Below are 13834 nucleotides of genomic sequence, written 5' to 3'. Positions count from 1 at the left end.
AACATCATGGCTCCCTCCCCACAACAGGGATGTTGCTGTTGAAAGCATGACATGCGTAGGGTTTGATGTGAGTGACATCAAGATGTCCTTTAGTATTCCATTGCAAACCCTTTCCCCTCTTAGGAAAATGATGCCCTTGTGATTTGACTCATTCTCCCCCAAGAAATGATGCTCATTCACGTCTGAAAAAATACCCCCTGTATAGTAAATGGTGACAACAGACAGGGATTTCCCTCATCTTAAGCCAGGGCTTCTCTCTGAAAACATCTCAGAGTGGGCTTCAGTTTTGTAAACTCCCTGAAATTGTAGGTAAATTGTGTGTCCTTGGTGTAAATATGAATTTTATCTTTCGAGGGTCTATAGCTTTCTTCACATTCTTAAGGGGATCTGCTCCCTAAGATCATAAATGTAGTACTGGATGGTAGGGTGACGTCTCGTGGATCCTTGTATCTCCAGCACCTAGGGCAGGGACTCACGAAACCTCTCAGGAAATACCGGTTGATTGAAGTAAAGATTCATTCTGAAGCAGACCCCTCTAGCTATCAGCAAAGGACAAAATCCACACTCGGCCTTTCTTACTTGCCCCTGTTTAACTGCGCAAACTCTTGTTTGCTGTGCCACTCTCTTTCGTATGCCCGTTTGCACCTGGCTTCCTATTTATCAGCTATCAATATCCAGCGAGTGCTGGCTCTTGTCAGTCTAATTTCTGGTTGCTGCCGCTTCTTGACACCCCACACTTTATCACCCACACACTGCTCGGCTCCTATTACAACTGGTCTCAGCATTGCTAATAAACAGCAACACCAAAGCCATATTTTCTGGTCCCTGTCAGGCCACTGCTTTCCTGGGTGAAATAAAAGTCCTATTAACATGCTCCTCCTCATTGCCTCTGACAGATTGATTAATTAGGCCTCCTCTTTAGATGACCTCTGCACTGACACGACAAGGAGGTGGATATAAAATGAATAGTTTGCCCATATAATGGGCTACTGTGGGTTTGGGGTTTTTATCAAATCAGACTGTCGGAAGTTACGAACTTGTATGAAATTCCATGGCTTGCAGCAGCAGCAGCCTAGGATGGCTTTTGGTCCAGTGGAATCTGTCACATACAGATAGGACTTGAATGCCAGGCACTGCGGGGCAGGGGAGAACCCACCTGACAAACAGCCGCCTGTCTACCTGAATGATCTCTCGTTTATGCAGCCCAGTTCATAGAGTGCAAATCTAATGTTCTTTTAATGTTATCAAATAAAATCACCTTTTGTTTTCCACAGCTTTTCTTTCCCTCCATCCCTCCTTCCCTGCTAGAACACCCAATACGTTAACTTTGTGGTTGCTTTGCCTCTCAGAACGCTAATGCAAAACCATTACAAAAGAGCACTTGAGTTAAATGTCCACATTTCCATTATAAGTTGTTGTTTTCAGAGAAATCGGTAACTTGGACATAAAAAGTCATTTTAGACTGGGACTTGGCGTCGGGGGGGGCTCCGACAGTCTTGGCAAACAAATTAGGCTGCTTGCTTTCCATTAAGAGAGTGTGGATTCCGAGGGGTGCTCGTTGGCTGCCTTTGCTGTTATGCACTTCTTTAGTGAGGGAATGGCTTGGGAAGCCATTAACCAGATTGAAATATACAAGGAGCTCTCTAATTGCTTTACTGAGCAGGCTCTGTAGATATTTAAAATCCTGCCTACAAAGAAGAATAAAACAGCCTTGCAGAGCATGGAGGCTGCAGCAAGCGAACACACATGGACAAAGATGCCCAGAGATGGAAGGCTGTTTCTTCTGCTTACTTGTATTGTTTTTTTTTTCCCTTTGGAGTGAGTTAATTTATTATTTTAAAGCATGCCTACTAACATCTGGCACTTTTAGAAACATGCCATTCTATTACAGTGTCTTCCTCCAAAGAAAAATAATTTCAGTGATGCCAAGATCAAGCCGGTGAATTCTTAGCAGAGCTTGGTACTTGCTAGGTGCTCAATAAGTGGTAGGCAGGCTGAGCTGAATGATGAGTCTTTTCAGGAGAAATTCTCAATGGGTGAAACCCTAGAAAGAGAGTAGGAGAGGGGACTTGCCAGTCTCCTCTAACCGCACACAGAATTCCCAGGGCCTGGAAGGAACTCATAGCCTTTGACTTTGCCTGCAAAGCTATTCATTTTATATTGGTCTAAATTTGGGCTGAGTTTGCAGCTATCTGCAACCAAGTGAGTGAAATACTGGGTGGTCCATGGAGAAATGATGGTATTAGAAACAGGACCCTCAAGAACGTACACATGTACACATGCCACTGTCACCACTTTAGAGATGGTAATAGTGACACTAGGGAAGAGAGTAGTTGCTTAAAGACTGCATGAACTTGAACGGATATTTGTATAGCCAGGTTCATAGCAGCATTATTCCCAATAGCCAAAAGGTGGAAGCACCTCAAGTGTCCACTGACAGGTGAATGAATAAACAAAACATAGATACCTAAAATGGAATATTAATCAGCCTTAAAACAGAAGGAAATCCTAACACATACTACTACATGGATGAGCCTTGAAGACATTATGCTAAGTGAGGTAAGCCAGACACAAAAGAACGTATATTGTATTATTCCACTTGTATGAGGTACTTAGAGTGGTCAAATTCATAAAGATGGAAAGTAGAATGGCAGTTGCCAGGGGCTAGGGGTGAAGGGGGTTATCATTTAATGCGTAGTTTCGGTTTGGGAAGATGAACAAATTTTGAAGATGGTTGGTAGTGATAGTTGCACAATAATGTGAGTATACTTAATGCCACTGAACTACACTAAAAATGGTTAAAATGATAAATTATTTGTTATGCATATTTTACCATAATTAAGAAAAAAGGTTACACTAATTAGTGACAACTAGACTGGAATGCAAATCCCTTGAATACCAGTCTAACAATAGAATGGAAAGATGTTTGGTCTGGGAGTCAGCAGGCATGGAATTTAGTTCCTTTGTATTAGTCGAAGGTCTTCAACAAATCATGTTAGCCCTTTGAGCCTTGTTTTCCATTTATAAGAGAGGGTTGAACAACATTCCAGCTCTGCCAGTCTTACATACCCAGAGCCCTTCCTCAGCCCGGGGAGTCTCCTAGTGGACATTGTCCTGAAGCCAGCCTGGATTTTGCTCTCTTTATTTTTTTTTCTTTGTCACAGGTCATTCAGGCAATGACTGCATACCTAGACTAGGTGTTGTCAGGGGAAAGGAGTGAAAGAGAAGATGGAAGCTTTAAAGGAACTGTTCATCTCTCCCAAACTTAATTTCACAATTCCCAAAGAGGAAAAGAAATTAATGTATTTGCTGTTAAGAAATTGCCATATGTCCTGTTCTTTTATCCCAATGTGGATGATCATTGACTCCCAGAAATCCCTGAGAAATAAATCGGAGAATATGCTGAAATTTATTTAATTAAGGTAGTGCAGGGGCTGGTTCCATATTAAACATGGTGATGGGGATTTAAGATAATAATGCTACCATCAGTACATCTAAAATTGTTTAATGTTTTACTGCAAATATTTTTTAGCTAGAAGAAATTAAACAAGTGGGGAAGATTCTCAGAAACCAACACAGCCCAAAATGTGCAGATAAAGAACCAAAAAATAACGTAGAAAGGAGCAAGATTATAATAAATATTTTTAATGAGTTAATTTATTTCCTCTTTTTAAGTCTTAACTTGTAACATTATTTGAAATCACAGTAAATGTACATTTTATTTCTTGTTTCAGCCCTGAGGTGAGTTTATTTGGAATGTTTGTTTTAAATGGATTTAGCCATCATGGAATTAGGTCATCTTGGAAAAATGTGTTTTTTCTAAAAAAAAAAAAAAAAAATAGAATGATGTTCTGTGTGTTTGAGAGTAATTTAGAAACCACTGTTAATTTCCAGTCCTGTTATGGACTCCTTCTTCAGGAAGGTAAGTGCTTTTGATGTGTTTGAAGCATTTTGTGAGACAAGCAAAACAATTTGGAGCAATTGAAAGTGACAACCCTGCCCCGAGCACATGGCTTCATTTTCATTACGTTATAACGCAGGTGGAATGCAGATCATGCCGGGTCAGTTCTCTCTCTCAGTATCATTTATTCTACCTTTCTGTGCCTTAAGAGCAAACTTTTCACTTAACACAAGGATGCTATCCATTTGGCTTCTTTTTTGCTTTTCCAGTGAATAGCCATTTGCTTATCGACTTGTTTTTGAACTTACTATAATAAGCTTTAGTCAATTTTCTTTTAAAATAATTTTTTGGCTTTAACTCTTGTGAGATAGCAATAACACAAAAAAGACATTTATTTTGCTTTGAAACTAGTGCTTTTTCCAGAAGGTCTTGTATCCCTTAACAATTTGCATTCATCCATTCATCAAATGTGGATTGAGGGCAATGTACTGTTCCAAGCCTCGGATTACTATGGAGAAGCATAAGGTGGGTTCATCTCTGCTTAAGATGAGTTTGTTGTTTCGTTATGCAGTCATTCGTATGGTGAGAACTGTCAGTAATTCATACTATCTTCAAGTAAACACAAAAATCCATCACGCTAGTTACTGGTCATCCTCTTAGGATAGAAGATGGTGGGGGAGATGAGTATTTATTATCTCCACCTGCCTACAAAGTGTTTCTCATTCCCTGAGTTCATTCTACAGAGCCATGATTTGAACCCAGGTCCTTACTACTGCAATCTGGATACTTTCCAATTACCATGACATCTTTTGGATTATTTAGTCTATCACTTGTCTGCTTTCACTCCCCACCCTCCCACCTGCAATCCCTGCCCCGTCTTCTCTCTTTCTCTCCCTCCCCTCCTACAATGAGAAAGTGATATATAAGGAAGACAATGAGACAAAAGCCTGACCCTGAAGTCAGACAGACCAGAGCTTGACTCCCATCTGTGCTGGGTGACCTTGGATAAGTTATCTAACTTTACTAAACCCCAGGTGCCTCCACTGAAAACAGAAGATACTGATACTTCAGTAATAATAATAAGCTCTGACACTTAAAGAATTCTGTCCAATGCCTGACGTGGAGCAAGCAGTAAGCCTCAGTTAGTGTTAACTGCTATTATGTTTACGATCTTCCCATCATAAATGCTTTATTTATTTATTATTTTTTTAAAGTAGCATTTCCCACTAGGTTCCCAGCAGAGTGGATGGAGAAGCAGGTGTGGAGGATTGGTTTCAGGAGTCTGTGTGTCTATGAGCAGAGAAAGTATAAATTTATATTGTGTCTGAAGAATTTCTTATGTGACTTGATTAAAAAAAGATAAGGATGAAAGCTTAATGACAATATTTTTTTTTCCTTGAGACAGGATTTTGCTGTCGACCAGGCTGGCGTGCAGTGGTGTGATCATAGCTCGCTACTGCCTCAAACTCCTGGCCCAAGCAGGAGTAGCTGGAGCTACAGGCTCAAGCCACCATACCCAGTTAATTTTTTAAAACAATTTTTGTAGAATTGGGATCTGTTTATGTTCCCCAGCTTGGCCTCCAACTCCCGAGCTCAAGCTATCCTCCTCCTTCAGCCTCCCAAAGTATTGGGATTATAGGTGTGAGTCACCGTGCCTGGCTTAATGGTGATAACTTTTTTTTGAAAAGAGCCCCAACTGATACCTAGTTGAAATGTTACCTATAATGTGATATTTTCTGGGACTCTCCCAGGTGGAGTTGGTCACTCTAGCCTCTGTGTCACTGTAGCCACTGTTCGATAGCTATACACAGTGAATGCTCAGTAATATTTGTTATGTGGCTGAATGAGTGAAATAATAAGTGAATGACAACACATCACTTTATTTTAAAATATTTTCACATTTGGTTCCCTGATCAGACCTTGATATGGTTGGATCTGGAAAGGAGTCTTGTCTCTCCCGTTTTCCCTGCTGTCCTGACATACTTTTTCACACATAGTGGGCAATCAGCAAAGCTTCCCCTATTGCTTTTTGTAGACTCTTTCCTATTAGAGACATGTCTCCAAACATTCACAGATTTTATTTGACTAAATACTCACATGTAGATCTAATTAGTTGGGCTCTATTTCTCTGTTCTCTAAAAGACTCCCTGAGTATTTCAGTCTGGAGACCACTCTTCTATCTTTTTCTCCTTCCGGAGTTTCAGAATTTTCTTCTTAAACTGCCATCTTTGGGAGTTCTTCTCTGTTCTTCTTCACATTCTTCCCACCTTCTTTCCAACAGTTTTTGCATTTTATCTTAAACGATGTGTCTTGAAAAGATACAAAATGCTCCTTCTGGCCATCTCTGAGCCAGTTTTACTATGAGCCAGAGATCAACAAACTGAACTTTTTATTTTACATCTTCTGCATGCCAGGCACTGAGTTAGGCTGTAAGGATACAGTGGTAAACAAGACAGGGTTCTGCCGCATGGAACTTACACTCCTGTGAAGGAGCAGTTTCATGGGTTGTGAATAAGAGTTTCAGAGGGATAAATCAGGAATAAGAAGCAGCCTAACCTAGCCTGGGGAATGGGCTGTGACAACTGTGATGAGGCCTCAGCACTTGTTCCCACTGGGAATCAGGAATGGGGAAACCTATGCAAAAAAAAAGGGGCAAGAGAATGAAGGCTGTCATGCTGGAAAAGCTGAGGCCGAAGCTTTAGAAATGTTTCCTACTTTCAGAGTTGGGATTGAATTAAAGGACAAAGTGGGAGAGAAATATGAGCCTAAACCACAGAATCACAGATCTTTTGCCAGGCTCCTGGAATAGGGGGGCATCTTTTGGATCCATAATTAAGTCACTACCACAAGATTATTGTCAATTGTTAGTATTTCATACATTACAGATGTTTCTAAGTGATTGGTTTCATGGAAGGGGATTGTGGCAGACGTTGTTTAAAAATATGACCTCTCACTTGTTCCATTTCTGATTTTCCACATAGAACAGATGATCTTGATTGTGTCATGGTCAACCCAGAATTATGACAGTCTGGGAAGATTAGGAGGAGAATAAACTGCTACTTAAACCTTTTCTCAGCAGCATTGGAAAGCATGTGTTTCCAGCAATAACTCCTGGGAACTATTTGGTCAGTATATGCTTCAGCTGTAATTAAAAGGGCATTTCCTTGGTTTTAATTTCTTTTAATTAATTAAAAAATATGCCGTCTGTGTAGGGGGAGTTATAGTCCCTTCCTAGATGTGGAAAAATGTGATTTCTGAGACCAAAAAGCAGTATTTCCAAAAGAGTGTTCTGAAGACCACTAGTTCTGCTCGGTAACCCAGAGAATGGATTGGTTTGAGATTTGCTGCTCACTCTGTCCTCTTGGAGATTCACGAGTTTGTCAATGTACTAAAGGCTCTGAGAAGTCCTGCAGTAAAGACACCTCTTTAACTCAGCATTTCACATATATGTTTGAGCAAAGCACCCGTTTTTAAGCCCAGACATATTACGATTCCACAGAACACACTTTGGGAAACATGGTAGTAATGGTATTTCTTAGCGTCCTCTGCATGCATCATTGTGGTAACTCTGAGCTGATAGGACTTAGAAGCAGTCATGCCTCATGCAGAAGTCAAAGGAGAGGCCTCAGCCAGATTTAGTGGCAGCTCCGATTGTTTATTGAGTGAAATGAACGTGTCAGCAGTAGACTGCAGTGGAAAAAACACTGGGCTTGGAGTCAGATGGTCAGAACCTATTCTTGGCCTGGCACTACCAGTTTTGCTGCCTTGAGTAAAGAGGTTAACCTCATTGAGCTTCTCTTTTCTCTGTAAAATGGCTATTACCTGCCCTACAGCTGCCCTAATAACCATCATTCATTCAGTGCTCCAGAGTCCAGAACAGGGGTCAGCAAATGTTTTCTGTAAAGGACTAGAAGGTGTAATAAATATCTTAGACTTTACGGCCCATATGGTCTCTGTCATGGCTACTCACCTCTGCCATTGCGGTGTGGAAGCAGTTGTAGATGATATGCAAATGAATAGGTATAGCTGTGTCCCAGTAAAACTTTTTTTTTTTTTTTGGAGACGGAGTCTCACGCTGTCACCCAGGCTGGAGTGCAGTGGCGCGACCTCGGCTCACTGCAACCTCCGCCTCCCGGATTCAAGCAATTCTCCTGCCCGAGCCTCCTGAGTAGCTGGGATTACAGGCATCTGCCACCACGCCCGGCTAGTTTTTGTATTTTTAGTAGAGACGGGGTTTCACCATGTTGGCCAGGCTGGTCTTGAACTCCTGACCTCAGGTAATCCCCCCGCCTCAGCCTCCCAAAGTGCTGGAATTATAGGTGTGAGCCACCATACCCAGCCCCAGTAAAAGTTTATTTATAAAAACAACAAGAGAGATTTGGCCCACGGGCCATAGCTTGCTAATTCCTGATCTAACGTATGTCAAGGTCTTTACCTATATTACTGCTAATTCTGCCTGTAGGATTAACAGAACACCTAGATTTATACCAGAGAAAACTGAGACACAGAGATGTTAAGTAACTTGCTTAAGGCAATATAGTTAATAAGTAGGTCTAAGAATTGTGCTCTTAGCTACCATACTGAACTCCCTTCTCTTATGACATCAAAAAACAGGTTACAAATTACAAAGGTAAATAAATGTAGATAGGATGTAGTATTATCTGAGGAAGTTCTCGTTTACTTGGGCTATAGGAGGCAATTCATGAGAAGAAGCATGTATTATATAGTATGCTTACTATGCCCTTTTGTCTCCACTGCCACTTCTGTACTATGCTTTACCTTCTCCTCACTCAGCAATGACTGGGGTTTCTAGGGCACCGTAATTCAAAGAAATTGCCTTTTTCTGAAAATTACCAAAATCCACTAGCAGCCTATTGAACATAATAGTGACACTGCAAATGTGCCCGAACCTTCAGACATTAAGGTGCCAGGATGCTGTAGACTTGAGTGTGTAATAGGAAACATCTGAGTCTACAGTTCCAGCAAATGTAGACTATTTCTTAATAAAAAATAACCCTGTGTACATCCACTTAGGTTTTACTTCCTAAGTGGAGTAAAACTAGCCCTAGAGTCAAGTTTGAAATTATTTTCATAATTTTGGGTAATTAAGACACTTCCCAGATCTCATTAGCAAATGCCTAAAATAGAATAATTGCCATATAATTAGTGACTGGCAAACTTTTAGAGGTTTGAAGGTTTTGTTCTTTTCTGAATTTGGAAGTACAAGGGCCTAATCTTGAATTTATCAGAACCCAGGAAACTTCGTAACTAGACTCCATTCCTTTCCCAATTCATTTGTTTTAGTCCTACCTGTCTTCTTCCACCAAATTCCACATCTTTCTATGAGTTTCTTGTAAGCATTTTGTCTTCTTCTATTTAGATATTTCTCCTTGGCTGGAGTCTTGTACTTTAACAACTATTTAGCATGTTCCTTCTCTGAGTCTGACACTGAGCCAAATGCTAAGGGGAAGATGGTATCTCTGCCTGCTAGGAGCTTATAGTCTAGTTAAGATATGATTTCATGATAACAGCCAAAGAAGAGATAGGGTGGCAGATGATTCACTTAAGTCTGCTGTGCTCTGAGATTTAGAGTTAGGGCATCCTACTCTTCTCTAGCACTTTAATTGCTTTTTAGGGCTGCCCTTATTATCTTCATTGATCTCAAAATAATTCTGGCAGGTAGTACAGATAGGATCGAGAATAGTAATGTCTTTCACCTAAAGAAGCTGAAGCTCAGAAGAGTTTGGCAATTTGTCTAAGGTTATGCAGTTATGTATGGGTTTAAAAAATAATAGCAGGTCTTCTGCCCCCTGGCCCCGCCTATTTTTTACCATGATGCATCAGCACATGGCACATAGATTCCCAAGTGTCTCACCCCATTATCTTGTCAAGGGAAAGAGTGTAAATGTTGAAGTTGGACAACTTTGCATCCAAAACCTAGCTCAGCCACTTTGGTTTGACCGTTAGGTCAGTAATTTAACTTAAACCTTCTTATTCCTATTCTTCATAGGTAATTTGAGACTGCAATAAGTCAATTGCAGGACTGTGGCAGGGATTAACTAGAGGACAAATGTGAAAGTACCTAATAGGATAAATGAAATAATAAATGGAAGCTCTTATAAATGAGTATATCACTCCATGCTCACTCACCACACTTCTTCTCAAGTCTCTCTCCTTTACTGGATCATGAACTCCTTGAGAAAAAGAGTCATTTCTTGGTCATCTCTGACACATAGTAGGGCTCAATATACTTTGTTCATTTAATAAACACCTAGCGCTTATGGTGTGTCAGGCACCATTCTAAGTGCTTTGCGTATTTTAACTGAGCTTTATTATAATCCCTTGAAGTGGAAGAACTACTATTATACCCATTATGCAGATTAGGAAACTGAGGCCCAGGAAGATATGCCAGAGTTCACCCAACTATTAAGTGGTGGAATTAGGACTCAAACCCAATTGTCTGGCTCCAGAGTCTATGCTGTTACTCATCCTGGGCTGCTATCAGTTGGACTGGGTTAGGTTGTTCAGGCCCCATCAGCTTTGCTTCCCCCGAGATTCCTGCTCCTTGGCTCTGGAGGCACATTTTGTTAACAAGTCGGGATTCTTTGGTGAGGTCAGATTTCTTCTATCTGCCTCCCTTTTACTGCTCTTGATTTTCCAGGGTTAATAATTCAAGATGATAGCTGAACCATAGGACTAAATTTCAAAGCACAGAGTCTAGAGGTGTTTTAAATGAAGAGGGAAGGTTGTGCAAAAGTCAACTGGGTAGAGGAAGGCTGGCGACTAGATTTAGGCTAGTATTCAGATAAGTGTGGATCCAGAAGAGCCCCAGCTCAGAGTCATGCCTAGGTGACAAGCCAGGTTTTTATTCTCCTAACAGGAAAGGACTTACTTAGAAACAGAGAGTAGCCCCTTCCAAGTCTTCTTTGCCATTCTAGGGTTGAAATTTGATGGGGAAAATAGAAGCTTTCAGGTCTCACTTAAGAGTCAATGACAACACAAGGAAATCTGTCTCCCAGTCCCTTTTTCAGCTTCTAGTTCAGTTAACATACTTTTACGTATTTGCAAAGATGTGTAAGCTGTTTAATAGAATCATAGAAAAACCTAAATGAACAGGGAATGGGATGTATTAAAACAAACACAAGGGAGTTAAAAGAAAATTCATTCTGAGTTGTGGGTAGGTAACTTAGTGTTTAGGTCCCAGTTTTTTATTGCATCCTAATGCTTGAGCCCAGCGATGCTGAGGTAGGCCTGGTGATGACAATATTCATTAAAGTTAATTTCCTGATAGAGGCCACTTAAATCTGATTGTTGTTTTAATTTGTTTCACTGCTAATTTCCTTCGCTTAAATAGAGGAAGCTCTCTGCCCCTCCCACAGCCAGCCCAGGCAGTTTCAGGGAGGTGACAGCCATCACGGCATTCACCAACCAGAGAATGCCATCATGTCACACTCTTTAGGCAGGAGATGATGTCTTTATTTATCTCTAGAACCTAGAAGTTGCCTGATTTGGAAAATATAGGTGCTCACTTTCAAAGTCTAAAAGTATATTGCTTTATTGAATATGAAATCTCCTCCATTACTCAGCTAGACCTAAATCCATCTAGGACTTAATGGGAAAAATGTGAGTCCCAGCAGTGTCCAGGATTTTTGAATTATACATACTCATTTTGTTGTTTGAAGAACAAATATAAATACAGCACAGGCTAAAACATCAAAGCAGGAGAGAAAACTCCCACAGTAATAATAATAGCAAACAAAATGTTTATTAAATTCCAGGCTGTTCAAAGTCTTTTTCATCATGGACCTTGTGCGGTAGGTGCTTTTGTTATCTGCATTTTTACAGATGAGGAAGCTGATGCCTGGAGAGGTAAATGAAGCTAACAACGAGGATTTGAATTCAGGAGGGTTGCCTTAGACTCTGGCTCTTAACCCCGGCAACAGTGCTTCTTAAACTCTGGTCCCAAGACTGCAGCATCTGCATCTCTTGAGACCTTGTTAGAAGTGCAAGTTCTTTGGCTCCATCCTATAGCCACAGAACCTTGGAGTGGCTTCAAGTGACTGATGTCTAAAGTTTGAGAAACATTGCATTACAGGATGCTACTTTTCCAGACTTGGTTCTTACATTCCATAAATATTTATCAAGTACTCAATAAGTGGCAGGGACTATTGGAGATACAGCAAAAGCAAAAATGCCTCCCCTCTGGCGGTTTACAGTTTAGAGAGTTTACAGACTCTAAAGAAAATTAAGTAATTCAAATACTAAAATACTAAGCTCTCTTATCTCAGGTTGGCAGATTACATTCTCAGTTAGTAAAAAAAAAAAAAAAAAAAAAAAAGATGCTAAACTTTAACACTAATAGCCAGAGGAAGGAACACCGCATAAAGGAGTTTAGAAGCTTACTTCAGGTGACACTACTGAGGTTGCAAACCCAGGTCTCTTGGTTCCTGATCTTAGCATCTCTCCTATGCTATGCTGAGCATGTTTTCCTCATCTCCTTTGCCCTGTAGCTTGTTAGGGGGAAAAAAACATGAGGTTTATAGACAGGCTGACCTGAGACCAAATCCCAGCTCTGCCACTTACTGATTTCATTGCACACAGATTGACATGAGGTTGGGGTTTGGGGGCAGAGTTGACAGTGGTTGGTAGAGGCAGAGCTGGAAATTCCAGTCCACAGTTCCTGCCAGCTCACAAAACTGGGAGAGATTCCAGTCTAGGGAAGGGATGTGAATGATGGGTGGTCAGGCTTTGTTGGTCCAGTGTCTGTCACTGCTCTTGGACTCACAAAACTTCCTGCTCTTCAACTTTGTGAGATTTTGAAACACAGTTTTCTCTCCTTCTCACTGCAGTATGCTTAGCCAGAGTCCTCAGAAGGAGCATAGATTTTGTGTGTGTATTAGATATGCTTCCAAATGTATAGCCACTGTGATCGAGTGTCACTGCCACTGGTTCAGAGTTTTCTGTTTCAGGGAAAGCCAGTAAAAACCTGACTTTTGGAAATTTCCGTTTATTGAAAAAGGCAGACAGCACCACTTTTGATAGTGTGCTTGTTAAAAGGCTTTAAGAAGAAGATATTTGACTGGCTAGCAGACATTTCACATAAGAGATGGTGTGTCACCAGATAAAGAGTAGAGGGGACTGGGGAGAATGGGATACCATGCAGTTATAACCCACTTTCCAGAGAACAGAATTCTGGTCCCTCGCCTTCTAAAACACTGGCAAAATAAGGAAGTAAGAAATGTGTTCTTTGCAGAACTAATAACTCAGAAAGCATACAAACAAGGGCCTGTTAGGAATGCACTCGCAAACTATGCTAATTCTGGTTTAACTCATGATTCTGACACATTGTCCTGGCCCCAGAGAAACTTGGGTAGCAAATTTGAAGGAGAAGAAGAAATATTGAAACTGGGGATTCTGAAGGCAACCAAATCTGAGTTTGGATCTCAACTTTACCAGTCAGATGCATGACCCTAATCGAGTGATTAAACACTGTGGACCTTTCCTCATTCGATCGTCTGTAAAACTGAAAAAAAAAAATTAGCACTTTATATCTTCCAGAGTTCTTGTGAAGCTAATGCATTGAAAGTACCCAGCAGATAACTGTACAATTGTTTCAGTGATGGTGAATAGCAACAAAACGGAAAGGTATCACTTACTGAGAGCTTCTTATGTGCCAGGTTGATCTAAGCATTTCATAGGTATCAATTTATTTAAATATCACTATTATTATTGGAGTTAGACTGTGTTATCTCCGTGTACTCTGGCAACTAGGAAGAGCTTTTAAATGTTTTTATGCAGAACTGGAAATGCACAAGCTTGTATTAATATGAAAATTGTGATTTAAATTAGAAAATTCTCAATATCTTAAATGAAAATTATTGCTCCAGGATGATAAACCAGGATGATCTGTGGATCCAGTTGTTACTTCCTGGG

The 13834-nt window shown here is 40.6% G+C and overlaps 1 protein-coding gene across 25 annotated transcripts in view, besides 1 other annotated feature; it reads left to right on the top strand.

The window, feature by feature from the left end:
* MPPED2 (metallophosphoesterase domain containing 2) overlaps positions 1 to 13834 on the top strand; it is a 202912-nt gene that overhangs the window by 138701 nt on the left and 50377 nt on the right. Inside the window, exon 5 of one of the 25 annotated variants that reach the window (XR_007062496.1) lies at positions 6883 to 7026. The exons of the other annotated variants lie outside the window; for them this stretch is intronic. The gene's annotated coding sequence lies outside the window, so the exon portion shown is untranslated. The remainder of the gene's footprint in view (positions 1 to 6882; positions 7027 to 13834) is intronic. 25 annotated transcript variants of the gene reach the window in all.
* Positions 2692 to 3193: an enhancer, noted in NCBI's record as "NANOG hESC enhancer chr11:30466644-30467145 (GRCh37/hg19 assembly coordinates)". NCBI's record gives its function as "activates a minimal SCP1, AML or CMV promoter by ChIP-STARR-seq in naive H9 embryonic stem cells {active_cell/tissue: H9 hESC(naive)}" and the evidence as "EXISTENCE:reporter gene assay evidence [ECO:0000049][PMID:30033119]".

This window comes from Homo sapiens, chromosome 11 (assembly GCF_000001405.40).
Source record: "Homo sapiens chromosome 11, GRCh38.p14 Primary Assembly".
Classification (NCBI taxonomy): Eukaryota; Metazoa; Chordata; class Mammalia; order Primates; family Hominidae; genus Homo; species Homo sapiens.
The sequence above is the reverse complement of the archived record's forward strand: the minus strand, read 5'-3'. Positions and strand labels throughout refer to the sequence as shown.